This window comes from Homo sapiens, chromosome 6 (genome assembly GCF_000001405.40).
Source record: "Homo sapiens chromosome 6, GRCh38.p14 Primary Assembly".
Lineage (NCBI taxonomy): Eukaryota > Metazoa > Chordata > Mammalia > Primates > Hominidae > Homo > Homo sapiens.
Genome location: NC_000006.12, coordinates 28,708,299 through 28,724,811, shown reverse-complemented (window position 1 = coordinate 28,724,811; position 16,513 = coordinate 28,708,299). Strand labels below are relative to the sequence as shown.

Genomic DNA, 16,513 nt, shown 5'->3' with positions numbered 1-16,513 from the left:
TGAGAAGGAGAGGAAGAGGCTTAGATGAAAAAGTTTAAATAACTTGTGATAAATGTAAACCTATTGTTATCTATTATATTATTCATTAACAGATAATTTGTGGAAAAAATTTGATGGTATCAGGTGTTATTGAACAGTAGACTTAATTTGCTCTGGTGGACCAGGCATCACTTTTACAAATTTTTGACAGAAATTAGAAGCTGAAGGTCCTGACAAGATGGATCACACAGCAGTTTAATGACTTAACGCTGACAAGTTGTATGTGTGTGTGTGTGTGTGTGTGTGTGTGTGTGTTTAACTCAGGGATGAGATGGAAATTTTTTTTTGAAGGGGAAGAACTGCCCTCAATTACTATGATCAAACACTGACTGGCTTTGGAAGTTAGCTTTTGTTTCAGATTGGATAATGCTTTTTAATAAATTCAGCCCAAAATTACAAGGTAAAACAATGTTTATGTATAAAACTTGTACTGCAGTAAAGTCATTTTGATGACAGCTAACACTGCTAGAATCATAGTAATATCAAGCTGCCCTGTGCACTGCTTGTGCTGTCAAAAGTTAAAAGAAGCAATTCTCCAATCCCACAGAAATTTTCAGCAGATATATTCTCCTAACTCGAACTACAGTACCAACAGTATGTTAAAAACTTAATGCAAGTGCAAAAGCAATTTTCATATTTCAAAATCTACTTAATTGTGCAATTGAGGAGCTTCACACTAAGCCTCACTTTGAAGTGACTAATTTGCAATGTAATGACATGCTAAAAGCAAACATAAAGAGATGAACCTACTAGAATCCATAAATGTCTTCCATGCAATGAATATGCCCCAAATTATATACTCACAGATTAATATTAGCCATTTGGCATCTCCTATCTTTATGAAAAGATATTTTCAAAGATGAAATAAATAAAATTGCACTACAGGTCATTAACAGATGAGCATTAGCAAATGACTTTGATGATAGGAAAGGCTAACTTTGAGCCCCCATCTGTAATAATAATAATTATTATTATTATTTAATTTTTCTCGTTATCAATAATTATACTCAATTAGTATTGTGTTTTGAATTGCATCAATAAATATGAGTAGACTTTTTTTCTCCCTTGTTATATAAGTACCTACATAATATCCTTGATTTGGCCATTTGACTTGCAAATCCTAAAATATTTACTACTTGGCCATTTACAGAAAAAGGTCTCTCTCAGGCATATTTTATAAGAGCACTAATCCCATTCATGAAGATTCCACCTTTATCACCTAATCACCTTCCAAAGGCCCTAAAGCCTAACCTAATAATATTGGTGATTAGGTTTCAACATATGAATTTTCAGTGATGGGGCAGTCACAAATATTCAGATTACAGTAGGAGTATATTTAAAAGCCTGGAAAACACAATTAATTTTGCACAAGCTTACTTTGACAAAGATTCCCTAGGTTGATCTCCAATAATTTCTATCTCCTAGTGTTCAAGTATTTGTGTAATACTCTTCCCTTGAGTGTGAATGGGACTTGTGATTTACTTCTAACCAATAGAATATGGCAAAGGTAAAGGGATGCCACTCCCATAATTACATAAATATGTATATAAAAACATACAATATATTGTTTATATTATTTATATACATACATTATTAAATCTATAATAATAGGTGTATATAAGCCATTTTTTATATAGATATGTAAGCAATTTTAAATATATGTACACACACAAATATATATTCAAAATAGAGCACAAAAACCCTGCCTAAGTCATTTGATGATAATGACAGCACTTGGGGTGGAGAAGATCCAGAGATTGAATCTGCAGTGAAAAAAAAGAAAATGACAATGGGAGATGATAGGAACAGAAGAGAGAGAGTCTGGTTTATTTGGCAGGCTTGAGTCTCAGGGGAATGACAACAGCATTCACTCCAAAAGGACCTGTAAGCAGCAACTGACATCTCTACTAGAGAGGGGAGAAGTCTTTAATACAATTCATTTATGCTGTAGATTTCAGGAACATGCTCCTATAATATGTGCTTGGCTGAATTACCAGACATTAGGGTGGATGGTCTTTCTGGGAAAGTGGAAGGAGTGTTTTCTGTGGAAAATGTAATTTTGATGCTACATAAAGCTGGTGGCATGGAATGGCTTGGTGTGGCACTTTTTGCATGGAAAAGACAATTCCCACTTACTTTGGATGGAGCATGTGTTCTAGAGCTTGTGTAATTTAGTTCACAGAACAGCTGGTGACTTTTTGTGACTCAAAGTTGTCCAAATTTGTGAGGTAGGAGAGATGCAGGTTTCTTTCTTTTTTTTTTTTTTAGATGGAGTTTCGCTCTTGTTGCCCTGGCTGGAGTGCAGTGGCACGATCTCAGCTCACCACAACCTCTGCCTCCCAGGCAATTCTTCTGTCTCAGCCTCCCGAGTAGCTAGGATTACAGGCATGCACCACCACACCTGGCTAATTTTGTATTTTTAGTAGAGACGGGGTTTCTCCATATTGGTCAGGCTGGTCTCGAACTCCTGACCTCAGGTGATCCGCCTGTTTCAGCCTCCCAAAGTGCTGGGATTATGGGTGGGAGCCACTGCGCCTGGCCTGAGATGTAGGTTTCCTAAACTCCTTTATTGAAACATTTGCAGTGGCCTCTGACTTTATGTGACCACTTGGTTTCTTCTAAAAAGTGGCGAATTATTTGCAACAAGCACTAAATTAACACAAACCAGACCAATCATCTTTTCTGTGACCAATGTCCTTTTCTCATGTTTCATGGAAATATCCTTAGACAAGTTTAAATTTTAACTGGGCTTATTTGAGCAAAGAACAACAAAATGAAACATAGCAAAACACAACAAAAACGATTGAAGAATCAGGCAACCCTACAAACCAGAGCAGGTTCAGAGAATGCCAACCAATAACATGGCCTAACAGCATAGGTGGGAAACATAAGTACAGTGGAGACAACCTCATTGGTTACAGCTTACTTTGTTAATTGGTTACAGAGCCTCCAGCAAGTAATTAAAGCTCAGCTACTGTAATTCAACTCCATATTAGTTTGATCTGTTAGGCTTAGTGGAGGAGGCCAGTCCAAATCAATGGCCTCCTAGATATTTTATTCAACAGATACAATAGCCTTTATCTTTCCTTCAAACCTCTTGCCTTATGCATTTAGGTCTCCCTCTATAATATTTTCTCCTGGTTTAAGTGAAACACAAAAACTATTTTCTGTCATAAACTGGATTGTGTGATCAAATTTATGTTGATTCATCAAAGTTATTATTAGGACTACAAATTTAGACTACTGGGAGGGAAAATGTAGAAATATCCCACAAACATAAGGCGATTGTCCTAACTCAGTGCAGAGGGTGTGTCTGCGCCCCCTGTTCATGTGATGGTGTGTCTGTGACACCTGTTCATGTGGTGATGTGTCTGTGCCCTCCTCTGATGTCTCCATAAATGCTTAGGACTTCCACTCCATTTCTTTTTTTGCAGCCTTTTCAAAAGGGGATGCTCTCTCAACAATACCCAGAGTCTGAGCTCAGCACTGGTAGAAGACAAAGGAGTTTTTCTGCACTCTCACTTCTTTCACTTCAGGATTCAAACCGGGCAGGACAGGGTAGCAAGTCTTTGTGGTGAATAAGCATCTCCTGCTTCCTCAGTTCAAAACTGGCATTGTTGAACACCTACTTTTCTATCTCTTAGGAGAAGGTAAAGAAACAAGAAAACGGCTTGTTTCTTTGTTGGGGATGATCTCTTCTACACCTCTCATCAGGGCCAGCTTCATGGGTCTGTGACCAGTGCGGTTCACAGGACTTTGGGCTCCACACATTGTGTAACGAAGTCTTGCTTTTCATTACTGGGTTCTTCATCCCACAGGATGCTGCTTTTTCCAAAGTACGCGAGCAGGCTGACTTTTTAAAAATGCTCCAGCCTTGCCGGACGGGGCGGCTCACGCCTGCAATCCCAGCACTCTGGGAGGCCGAGGAGGGCGGATCATGAGGTCAGGAGATCGAGACCATCCTGGCTAACACAGTGAAACCCTGTCTCTACTAAAAATACAAAAATTCAGCTGGCCGTGGTGGCACGCGCCTGTGGTCCCAGCTACTCGGTAGGCTAAGGCAGGAGAATCGCATGAACCCGGGAGGCGGAGGTTGCCGGGAGCCGAGATCGCTCCATTGCACTCCAGCCTGGGTAACAAGAGCGAAACTCCGTAAAACAAACAAACAAAACAAAACAAAACAAAACTACAACATCCTAATATTAATATTAAACTTTCCCCCAAATCCAAGAACGAACCCTCTTGAATTAATTCCTGATGCTAGTCTGAGGTGCATGAAAGATGAGGTGGAAGTGTGGTTAAGTGTCTAAGGAGATCCTTTTCAAGTTAAGGTGATTTTTCTGCCCTCAGAACTTTAATTTTTCCCACTAAATTTTTGTGAAGTATAAGACTGTAGCCAACATAGCAGTGATTGCTCAGAGTGGCTAGAGAGAGTAAGTGAGTAACAAAAATGTCAACAAGTAACTTTGGTAGGGTCGGGGAAGCCTTGGGAAGATGTTGGTAAAAGAATACAAAATTACAGTTAGAAGAAGTGCAAGAAATCTATTGTACAACATGATGACTATAGGTAAAAACAATACAATGTATTGAAACATGAAGAGATTTTAAAGTGTTGTCACTACAAAAATGATAACTATGTGAGGTAATGCATATGGTAATTAGCTCGATTTAGCTACTCCACAATGCATGCGTGTAACATTTTATTTTTTATTTGTATTTTAAATTTTAAATTGACAAGTAAAATTGTTTTTATCATATGAGATATGTATCTCAAAATAGTATGTTGTAGATAATAAAAACGTAATTTTACTTGTCAATTTAAAATTTTAAATACAAATAAAAAATGTTACATAGCACATTTTTTTAGGATAGGATAGTAGCACAGATTATCTTCTGGTAAATCAAGATGGTTTTGAAAACCCCAGGAAAATCCGAGACTCGTGGCAATGAAACCCGCCGTCTTCATTGGTGGTGATACACAACGTGGTATCAACTACTGGAGGTGCCGGGGATTGAACCCGGGGCCTCGTGCATGCTAAGCACGCGCTCTACCACTGAGCTACACCCCCGTTGCAATAGCCTTTTTTTTGTTCTAAACATTATAATTTAATCTTTCTCTTTGCTTGTGAGTTTTGAGAATCTGAAATTTAATACAAAGATCCCTTATGTATGACTCTATTTCTGAAACCTCTAGGTTTTTCTTTCTATCTTACAGGTACATCAGGAGAAGAGTAATTTGATGCTACACAAAAATATTACCATTCCAGTCTTGTCAGCCCACCCCAAATTTGGTTCCCAAGAAGAGGCCTGAAGGGCACTTCCATTCCTCCACCTGAGAGGGTCCCATGATGTAACAATCTCCAGCAGCTTGAAAATTTCTCTTGAGTGATACTTCTCTGTATAGTTTTGTTTCTTAGAATCATGTTAATGGTTTACACAGTCAAATTTAAAAACAAAACTAGCAACTATAGAGAAAAAGTACTTTAAATTTGAAAACAAATTGAAAAAAATAAAATCATTTCAAATGAATAATATCGGAATTTAAAAAGAGAACCAATCCAGGTAAATGTTTTACACGGTAGTTTGACCTTATAACTACATTCTAGATACAAAAGAACTGCAAATAGATGATCTCCCCTACAGTAGAACAGAATAGACAGCCTCAAGTCATACAGTTACACTGGCTTTTCTTACTTCTGCTGAGCCAAAATAACACACGCAAGGAGAATGAAACATAGACAAGTTTATCCAGGAGAAAGCTGGGTTTTACTAGGATTCTATTAGAACTGAGTAAGGGAAACAAAAAACATTATCAGGATCTGAAAAGGAGCTCAAACACTGGACCATCAAATTGAAAGTTTAATTTTCTAACAAATTATTCAGGGTTAAAGACATTTTGATTTTCAAAATCTCTTCAATTAAAAAATATTTGGTTACCATCCTAACATATATTTTTTTAAATATGTGTATATATAACATACATACACATATATATATTTAAAAATTATTCTATTTATTTATTTTTGAGACAGAGCCTCGCTCTGTCACCCAGGCTGGAGTGCAGTGGCATGACCTCGGCTCACTGCAACCTCCCCCTCCCAGATTCAAGCAATTCTCCCTGCTTCAGCCTCCTGAGTAGCTTGGATTACAGGTGCCCACCACCACTCCTGGGTAATTTTTGTATTTTTAGTAGAGATGGGGTTTCACCATGTTGGCCATGATGGTCTCAAACTCCTGACAGGTGAGCCACCTGCCTCGGCCTCCCAAAGTGCTGGGATTATGGGTGTGAGCCCTAACCTATATTTTTTAATGCTTTCCCTTGCCTTATGAGCCAGTGTGCTAGTAGTCACTCCTAGCCAAAACTTAGGTACCCAAGCTCAAAACTGCCAACAGATCCTCCTTCTCATTCAAATAGGTTCCACCACAGCCACAATGGAGTCAGGGAGTGGCTTTCCTTCTGTTTTCTTTGAAGCCACCAATATCAGTGGCTACTTTGTCAAAAACAAAAATTAAACTCTATGCATGCTTTCCAATGTGCAGTTTGTCTATCTCATTTATTGATCTAAAAGAAGTTTTAGCAACTTGATCCTCGACCAAAAAATTAACTGAATTACTAAAGAGGTGAGTGAGTGAAGAGGTGGCCAAGGTGAGAGTACCCCTAACTTTTTCTCTGAGGGTGAAAAGAATGTGTTATCTGTTGTGGAACTTGGGGCTTCCAAACTTAAGTTTAAACTGAGAGCCCAGTGGCCAAAACAGGTCAATCAGACACTTGGATTAAATATCTAAAACTCCATGTATTTTGGCTAGAGTGGGACCCCAATAAGTTTATTGTGAGTTCATTTACACAAAAGTCTAGGGTCATTTTGTGTGACTTTCAATGTTGCCTAAAAGATTGGTGGGCTATAAGATGCAAGAAACCAGCCGGGCGCGGTGGCTCACGCTTGTAATCCCAGCACTTTGGGAGGCTGAGGCGAGCGGATCACCTGAGCTCGGGAGTTCAAGACCAGCCTGACCAACATGGGGAAACCCCATCTCTACTAAAAACACAAAATTAGCCGGGGTGGTGGCACATGCCTGTAATCCCAGCTACTTGGGAGGCTGAGGCAGGAGAATCGCTTGAACCCCGGGAGACGGAGGTTGCGGTGAGCCAAGATCATGCCATTGCACTCCAGTCTGGGCAACAAAAGCGAAACTCCGTTTCAAAAAAAAAAAAAAAAAGAAAAAAAGATGTAAGAAACTACAAACTCTTGAAATAGGGCAAATGTAGTACGCTCTCTCTCTTTCCCCTTTCTTTCTTGCTTTCTTCCCTGGCTTCGTTACTTGGATTAGCAGGGAGACTTGGGGACAGCTCCTTCTTCTGTAGCACACATCAAGCACTGATCATCCACTTCTAAGGCTTCCAGAGTATGGCAGACAAAAGCTGAGGAAACAAAAATGTGTCTCATGTTTTTAGTACAGATGAGCTTTCATTTAATTGACATTACCTGAACATCTTCTTTTCTTCATTATAGGGGCTGTATATTGCTTTCCTCCCTAAACTAGAGAAATTGGAAATGGGCATTTCCATTTTTTTGTTTTATTTTGTTTTATAGGCTTTTATTGGTTTTATAGTTTTTCCCAAATCCAAGATTTAGTGCTCTTAAACTGAATCATAATGTCTTCTCCAGGTGAGTGATAGTTGAGGTACATTTACTACCAGGTGCAGGGAAGTTTGAATTTTGAAGGCACTGAATTTTGAAGGCACTGAATTTTGAAGGTAGTAAATGAGGTACATTTACTACCAGGTGTAGGGAAGCTTGAATTTTGAAGGCTTCTCAAGGGCAACTTTGAATCCTACTTATAGAATCCAAGGTCGAGTTCTGACTGTGGTCAATATGACCCTGAATGCTTGAGGTAGCTGGAGATAACACGTGGATAATGTCATAACAACGGGTTGCATTAAATGAGCACATCACTCCTTTGATAAACCAACTTTTTCAGAGGTGAAATAATTGGCCACATAGCTCACAGCCAACATGTAGCAGGACAGGTTTCAAAGCCAGACAGATTTCCTCCAAAGCACTTGCTCCAGATATTTTCTTTAGAGACAAAAATCCTGAATTCAAAAGACAGTTTGAAAAAGAGTGACTTTTGGATTCATTTTCTCTTTGACAATGTCAGTATCACTCATAGGAAGACATGTTGTCTTCAATGTTGAACAGTTCTCAGTTCTCATCCAATCCTTCAGTCAATAATTCTAGATGTCCACTAGGAAACTTGAAATTTCATCATCTGATCCATTCAGTAAGTTTTTATTTGTTTGTTTGGAGACAAAGTCTTGCTCTGTTACCCAGGCTGGAGTGCAATGGGGTGGTCTCGGCTCACTGAAACTTCCGCCTCCTGGGTTCAAGCTGTTCTCCTGCCTCAGCCTTCTGAGTGGCTGGGATTACAGGCACCCACTACCATGCCCAGCCAATTTTTGCATTTTTTAGTAGAAATGCGGTTTCGCCATGTTGGCCAGGCTGGTCTCCAACTCCTGACCTCAAGTGATCCACCCGTCCCGGCCTCCCAAAGTTCTGGGATCACAGGCGTGAGCCACTGTGCCCTAGTGAAGTCTTTTTTTCTTTTCTTTTCTTTTTTTTTTTTTTTTTTTTGAGACGGAGTCTTGCTCTGTCGCCTAGGCTGGAGTGCAGTGACACCATCTCGGCTCACTGCAAGCTCCGCCTCTCGGGTTCACGCCATTCTCCTGCCTCAGCCTCCCCAGTAGCTGGGACAACAGGCGCCCGCCACCACGCCCGGCTAATTTTTTGTATTTTTAGTAGAGACAGGGTTTCACCGTGTTAGCCAGGATGGTCTCGATCTCCTGACCTCGTGATCCGCCCTCCTCGGCCTCCCAAAGTGCTGGGATTATAGGCGTGAGCCACCGCGCCCGGCAGTGCGGTCTTATATAATGTTTGCTGAAGATTTGCCAAGAGGTTGGTGAGGAAAGGGCAGATCTTGCCCTCCACAAATCCTGTTTTCAGGATTTGTAGTATGAATGTGTCTCAGGTTGATTTTATTTTATTAAAGCTCTTAAAAATCAGAGACAAAGAAACAAACTTCCGAACTCATATAAGTTAGTGGAGGTTTTGCACCAGTTTTCTCATACTCCTTGCTTTAGAACTCATTAACCAAAGATATTTAAAACAAGATCTAAGAATGCAGCCATTGAGTAAAGAAATGGAATTTCCTTCTTGGGGCTAGAATGTGAAGAGAGGCTGCCAGGTGAAAAGAAAAAAGTAAAGTTGGCAGATAGAAATTGCTTTCCTCTGGCTAATTCAATATAAAAAAAGTGTATTCATATTCATACCTTTGAAAACCTTTAAAAATATCAGTCAGTTGACTAGAAATACTGAGTAGCAGGGTAATGAAAAGCATGGTGATCATATTGAAGAAGTGGGAAAAAAAAAGCAAAGGTAGCAACTGCTCTTGTTTACACTGTAAATGTTCTGGCTCACTTGTGAAATATTCACCTTTTTCTTTGCAGTTGATAATATCCATTTTAACACAAAAATAATTTGCTTCTTCCACATGGGGTGTCTTCTGATGATAATGGATGTTTGCAGAAAATATTTCATTTATCTATTCAAAAAGAAGAAAAAATGAGATGAGTGAAGAAATACAGAGAACTGGATAGGATAAAATATTTTGGCATGGTAGGTTATCTAATTCATTTAATGCAGACTTGTTTATTTTTTCACCTATTATTCTTGGCAGTATTGTAGTTCATTGAAAGCCATTGTTCTGTTGTCCAATGTCCATCCACCCACTCACCTAGAAATTGCTGTTATCTACGGCCATCTGTTCGCATTGTTAGACCAAACTTTTGATGGCAGGTACTGTGAAGATTGAGGTGAAGGGAGGAGACTAGTAGGATGATCAATGAGAAAATGCTCTGTTCTTCCACCTTCTCATATATTCATTGATGCTTTCCTGGTTTTGATCATCACACTGTGTTCACATAGATATTAAGATTAGAGGAAGACAGCAGACAGTTTGGGTATGCCAAAGAGAAGCCATAAAGTGCTGCCTGTAAGTGAAAAGGGGAAAGTTCTCTACTTAATACGGAAAGAGAAAAAATTCGTATCCAACGTTGCTAAGAGCTATGGTAAGAATAAATCTATCCTTGAAATTGTAAAGAAGGGGAAAGTTCTCTACTTAATAAGAAAAGAGAAAAATAATTCGTATCCGAGGTTGCTAAGAGCTATGGTAAGAATAAATCCTCTTTCCGTGAAATTGTAAAGAAGGGAAAATAAATTCTTGTTAGTTTTGCGAAAGCTACTGCTACAGTGTGTGATAAGTGCATGGAAAAGGCACTAAATTTGTGGGTGAAATACGTGAACAGAACACGTGTTCCACTTGACGGGGTTTCTACGGTGGTGGCAGCTTACGTGTTTTTCAGCTTCTCTCATTCTTACGAGGAGATGAAACATGAATAGCTATGAAAATATCACTGGGGAGGAAAAAAAAAGCCTGTGTAGAGGGAGTACCCTGCATTCCTGACTATGGCCTTCTTTGTCCTGGCGCCTCTCCTTGAGGAACCTGGCACCTCTCCTTGAGGAACATGATTTTTGCTTAATCCTTTCATATTCTAATTGATAATTAATGCCCGATAAAAGATAACCACTATGTATACAAAAAGTATAAAAAGATTAGAAGAATCTAGGTGGGAAATATAAAAACTCTGTATTTGTTTTGTAACCTTTCTGTAAATCCAAAGTTAGTTGTAAATGTAAAAGTCTAAAATTTGCACTAGAAATAATGAGAAGTAAGCCGGGCGTGGTGGCTCATGACTGTAAGCTCAGCACTTTGGGAGGCCAAGGAGGGCGGATCACAAGGTCAGGAGTTCGAGACCAGCCTGGCCAAAATGGTGAAACCCCGTCTTTACTAAAAATACAAAATTAGATGGGTGTGGTAGCACACACGTGTAGTCCCAGCTACTTGGGAGGCTGAGGCAGGAGAATCGCTTGTACCCGGGAGGCGGAGATTGCAGTGAGATGAGAGTACGCCATCGCACTCCAGCCTGGGTGACGCTTTGTCTAAAAAAAAAAAAAGAGGGGGGCCGGGTGCGGTGGCTCACACCTGTAATCCCAGAACTTTGGGAGGCCGAGGCAGGCGGATCACCTGAGGTCAGGAGTTCGAGACTAGCCTGACCAACATAGGGAAACCCTGTCTCAACCAAAAATACAAAATTAGCCCGGCGTGGTGGCACATGCCTGTAATCTCAGCTACTCGGGAGGCTGAGGCAGGAGAATCACTTGAACCCGAGAGGTAGAGGTTGCAGTGAGCTGAGATCGTGCCATTGCACTCCAGCCTGGGCAACAAGAACGAAATTCCATCTCAAAAAAAAAAAGAAAAAAGAAATAATGAGAAGTAAAGGAAAATTTTCATGAGCCTCTTCTATTTCTCCTTTTCTTCAATAATAGGGAAAAATAGAAGACAAACTGAATATCCTCATTATTGTGATAGTACATCTTGATGTCAAAAGAACCTGTGTAAATCAGATCTGTTACTAATTTCTATCCTCCTTCTTTCGTGATGACAGTTGTTTGGATGGTGCCAAGACTCACAGAATAAAAATGGGGCAGAGCCACCCCTAGGATGTTGAGTAACCCAGACAAACATATTTGTTTTTTGTGGGGCCCCTGTCCATGTGAATAATATATATATATTTATATATATATAATGTGAATAATATATATATTTATATATATATAAAGTGAATAATTAATATATATATTTTTATTTATATAATGTGAATAACATACATTTATATATAATATATTAATATCATATATATAAATATATATGATATATTAATATATTATATATAAATATATAAATATATATATTTATAAATATAAATATATATATTATTATATATATAAATGTATATTAAATATATAATATATATTTATATATAAATTAATATAAAGTTATATAAATATTATATAAAAATTATATATATCTATAAAAATATTATATATATATAAATATATTTATAAATATATACGTATATATTTGACACAGCGTATCACTCTGTCTCTCAGGCTGGAGTGCAGTGGCTGGATCTTGGCTCACTGCAACCTCTGCCTCTTGGGTTCAAGTGATTCTCCCACCTTGGACTCCTGACTAGCTGGGACTACAGGCAAAAGCCACCACATCTGGCTAACGAGTATATAATTTGATTAAAAAATGTTTTACAAAATTTAGGGGATCCTGTGAGGATCTTGTTGTGTATTAATAGAGATTTAGAATAATGGGTACTTACATATTTGTTTACAGCCTAATCAATACTCAGAAACATTTTTCGTAGTTTTCTGGCACCAACTCATCCTTTTCAGTCCAGAAACTATCTGTTCATGTTATTTATTGTTAATCACACTGTTTCTGGCTAATTCTATGTTTCCTACCATGAGTAAAAGGTAGCAACATTGTTATTACTCACAATACCGCGGCTCTTTGGAACTCTTTTGTGTTGAAACAATATGGATCTTCCTGCTTGTACAGTTCCCAAATGCCTTTTGTTGGATGCTGACTGCATCCTTACTCATGAAGCTGCATCAGCTTTCTTTCCACCTGTAAATGCTGGCTTCCAACTTCTCTTTAGAAGGTTATTACTATGACTATGTTAATAATGACCACAAATGTAAGTCATATCCACAGTATGTAGGAAAATGTGTACAGGTTAACATTTTTTTTTTTTTTTTTTTTTGAGACAGAGTCTCTGTCACCCAGGCTGGAGTGCAGTGATGCAATCTCAGTTCACTGCAGCCTCTGCCTCCCGGGTTCAGGTGATTCTCCTGACTCAGCCTCTAGAGTAGCTGGGAGTACAGCTGTGCACCCCATGCCTGCCTATTTTTTTTGTATTTTTAGTAGGGACAGGGTTTCGCCATGTTGGCCAGCCTGGTCTTGAACTCCTGACCTCAGGTGATCCACCTGCGTTGGCCTCCCAAAGTGCTAGGATTACAGGCATGAGTCACAGCGCCTGGCTAGGTTAACTTTTTCAGTCAAGTTAAATTTACTATTTGAAATTTAATAGCATAAATGTAGAATAACACATCTAGCAATATGTTCTTCTGAACTCTTTAGAGTGTAATCATTGGATTCGTAAAATGTGATTTCTTCATTGGCAGACGTAGCCTCTCCAATAATTTTTATATTTTTCAGTCCAAACCTATTCCTGAATCTGTGTAACCATCCCCTACTTGCAATATATGGGTTGGTGTCAATCATTTCAGAGGATCCCTTGATGAAGTCTTCATATGGGCTCAGTGTTTTCTGGTATAACGTGTTGCCCTCAAGTAGATTAAGTGTTCTGTTCACGTGTTTCACCCACATATTTACTGTCTTTTAAATGTTAACTATGCACTTATCACACACTGTAGCAGTAACTTCTGCAAAACTAGCACAAATTTCTTTTCTCTTTACAATTTCATGGATAGAAGATTTATTCTTACCATAGCTCTTAGCAACCTCTGATATGAATTTGTTTCTGTTTCCTTATTAAGTAGAAAACTTTCCCCTTTTCACTTAAAGGTAGCACTTTAGGGCTTCTCTTTGGCATACCCAAACTGCCAGCATCACTACTCTTGCACTTTGGGGCCTTTATTGAGTAAAATAAGGGTTATTTGAACACAAGCAACGTGAGGACAGTAGCTCAGATAACTCAGATGGCTACTGACTGACTAACTAGTGGGTGGCTTACTACACAGCGTGGATATGCTGGACAAATAGATGGTTTACTTCCCAGGCGGGATGGAGCACATGAGGCGACATTTCATCATGCTGCTCACAACAGAGAAATTGAAAACTTATGAATTGTTTATTTCTGGAATTTTTCATGTAGTAATCTCAGATCGCGGTTGACTGTGGGTAAGAAACAAACGATGAAAGTGGATTACTGCTATTCATTTTAATTCCAAGGGCCTTGGTTCTTCCTAATCCCACGCTTCAATGCAGCATTATTTAGACATACCACCCAAAACGTAGACCTTAGGCTACTTTTGAGTCTGTTGCCACTCATGAAGCAAATCGTGCTGTTTTCTGCCAAGGGTCCCTGCTCTGGGCCGCTAGGCAAATGAGCATAATACATGGAGGTGCTGGGGATTGAACCCAGGGCCTCGTGCATGCTAAGCACGCGCTCTACCACTGAGCTACACCCCCTTAAAGCTAGCTTTTTTGCTATATTTTATAACTGGCTGTCACTGTTATCTGCTAGTGTTCTACGATTTAAACCGAGGTCAAAGTCTACTCTATCCAACTCTACTATTTCTGAAACCCTCAAGTTGCATTCTGGACCGAAAGATCCCTTTAGTGCTATTAGGGTCTTTCATAATGGCGGACCCTCCAAAGACTGTTCCTAGGGAACTTCCCGAATGGCAGCTTTTGTCCACCACCAAGGAGAATCCCAGGTAGAAATATTATCTTAAACAGTCAACTTCCTACTTTTCTGTCTGCAGTGCTCCCAGAAAAACATAAACGGTACTACTAGGGAATACTAAGACCAGTACTAGGAGAGCTACTCAGGGAACGGAGGTCCAAGAGAGGAGATAAGACTGGAGGGGAATTAATTCACAATATCAGCGTGAAATGAAGTGTAAAGCATGTGTCAGTCACAACCCTCCCAAGCCGCTGGGCCCAGCGTCTACGGAAGCGTGGAAGCGGCATTCTGTCCAAGACGCTGCTCACTGGCTGAGATCCCTAGAGAGCGAAGACCAGAAAGAAAACAGCTCCAGGCGACTTTCACCTCTTTCAGGCAAAATCCTTTCACGGTGAGGCGAACACAAAGAAAGCAAGAGGAAGGAATTCGCTCTTTTTAAGACCTCCCTGCGCCTGGACAGGTCCTCAGACCCTGTGTTCCTGGAGCACAAAAGGTAAGGGTTTCCTGTCTTTATTCAACATGCGTGTGCCACAGTCAACCCAGGCAAGTGTTTTGGAGACAATGGGGGTTGGGGGCAAGAATGTAAGTAATTTAAGAACTCCCCCAGGTGACTCTGAAAATCAGCACGGTTCGGTTACAAGTGGAATGTCTGAGAACGGAAGAGAACTGAAGAGGAGGACGAGAAGAAGGAAGGAGATAGAGAGTGGAGGGTATTATGGGCGAGAGTGGGGAAAGTGGAAGAGATGAAGCAGCGAAAGACGAAGAAGAACAAGAGGACGAGAAGACAGGAAGCGGGTTCAGGCAGGGGACTCGAAACACCATCAGCATTTAAATAGGGAGGGAGACTGGACGTATCCAAGTTCCCCTATCTGTCGCGTTTTCACCAGGCCCACGGCAAGACAGAAGGTTTCACTCTTCTAAACAAAGTAGGCTGAAAACGTAGGTCCTGCACGAAGATTTGGTTTGTTTTGTTCTAGATTGTCGCGGGTTGAGAGCAATTCGTTGCTCTTTTCCTCTCTGGATAAACAGGTTGAGCGCTTCACCAGGCGTTCGTGTGGCTGAATTTTTGTGCAATAGGTACTGGGAATGGCAGTTTTTTTTTTGTTTGTTTGTTTTTGTTTTTTGAGACGGAGTCTCGCTCTATCGCCCAGGCTGGAGTGCAGTGGCGCGATCTTGGCTCACTGTAAGCTCCGCCTCCCAGGTTCACGCCATTCTCCTGCCTCAGCCTCCCGAGTAGCTGGGATTACAGGCACACACAACCACGCCGGGCTAATTTTTCACTTTTTTTTTTTTTTTTTTTTTTTTAGCGGAGACGGGTTTCACTATGTTGGTCAGGCTGGTCTCGAACTCCTGACCTCGTAATCCTCCCGCCTCGGCCTCCCATCGTGCTGGGATTATAGGCGTGGGGAAAGGCAATTTTATAAAGAACATCTTGAAAGCCACGCCCGGACTCTTTCGGTATTCTTTACTTGCATCCTGCACTTGTCTTAGCTGGAGTCAGAAGAGAAACAATTTGAGCAGAGAAAATATGTTTGCCATAGTGTTGTAGGACCACACTATTGTCTGCCTCATCTCATAGGGATTAATTAATGGGCTGAAGATGAGGGACCATTCTGACAGGTGTGTAATGACATCTCATTATGGTTTTATTTTGCATTTTCCTAATGGTTAATGATGCTGAACATCGTTCCATGTGCTTCTTTGCTACCTGTATATTTTCTTTGGTAAAATATTTCTTTATGTCATGTTCTAATTAATTTTTTGTTTTTTACTGTTGAGATTGGAAGTTGTATTCTAGTTCTTTATATATTGATACTAGGCCCTTATCAAATGTGTGGATTTATGTCTGCCACTTTCTTATTTGATTTCCATTTGTTCTCTCTGGTGTTTTTGTTGTAGCATTTGTTGTTCTGTTATCCTTTTTCTACCTTTTTCTGGATGTCTTTGATGTTTTTCGTATTCCATTTTAACTTAGTCATTGGCTTTTTCTCTATATCTTGTTACTTTAGTGATTGCTCTGTGATTTAGTGATTACAATATGCACGCCATCCACTTAGACTTCATGAAAGTCCA

General features: G+C 39.8%; 2 non-coding genes across 2 annotated transcripts, besides 2 other annotated features; both read right to left on the bottom strand.

Annotated features, from left to right (window-relative positions):
• Window positions 4,881-5,149: a transcriptional cis regulatory region, noted in NCBI's record as "candidate enhancer chr6.1371 targeted for multiplex CRISPR interference". NCBI's record gives its function as "positively regulates ZNF165 gene expression with high confidence in K562 cells {active_cell/tissue: K562}" and the evidence as "EXISTENCE:mutant phenotype evidence [ECO:0000015][PMID:30612741]".
• TRA-AGC7-1 (tRNA-Ala (anticodon AGC) 7-1) lies at window positions 5,037-5,108 on the bottom strand. The gene has a single exon. It is a non-coding gene; the product is annotated as a tRNA-Ala (tRNA).
• Window positions 14,152-14,223, bottom strand: TRA-AGC5-1 (tRNA-Ala (anticodon AGC) 5-1). Its single transcript has one exon. It is a non-coding gene; the product is annotated as a tRNA-Ala (tRNA).
• Window positions 15,523-15,713: a silencer, noted in NCBI's record as "fragment chr6:28676876-28677066 (GRCh37/hg19 assembly coordinates)". NCBI's record gives its function as "represses an EF-1alpha promoter that drives an FKBP-Casp9 reporter gene in an ReSE screen in K562 erythroleukemia cells {active_cell/tissue: K562}" and the evidence as "EXISTENCE:reporter gene assay evidence [ECO:0000049][PMID:32094911]".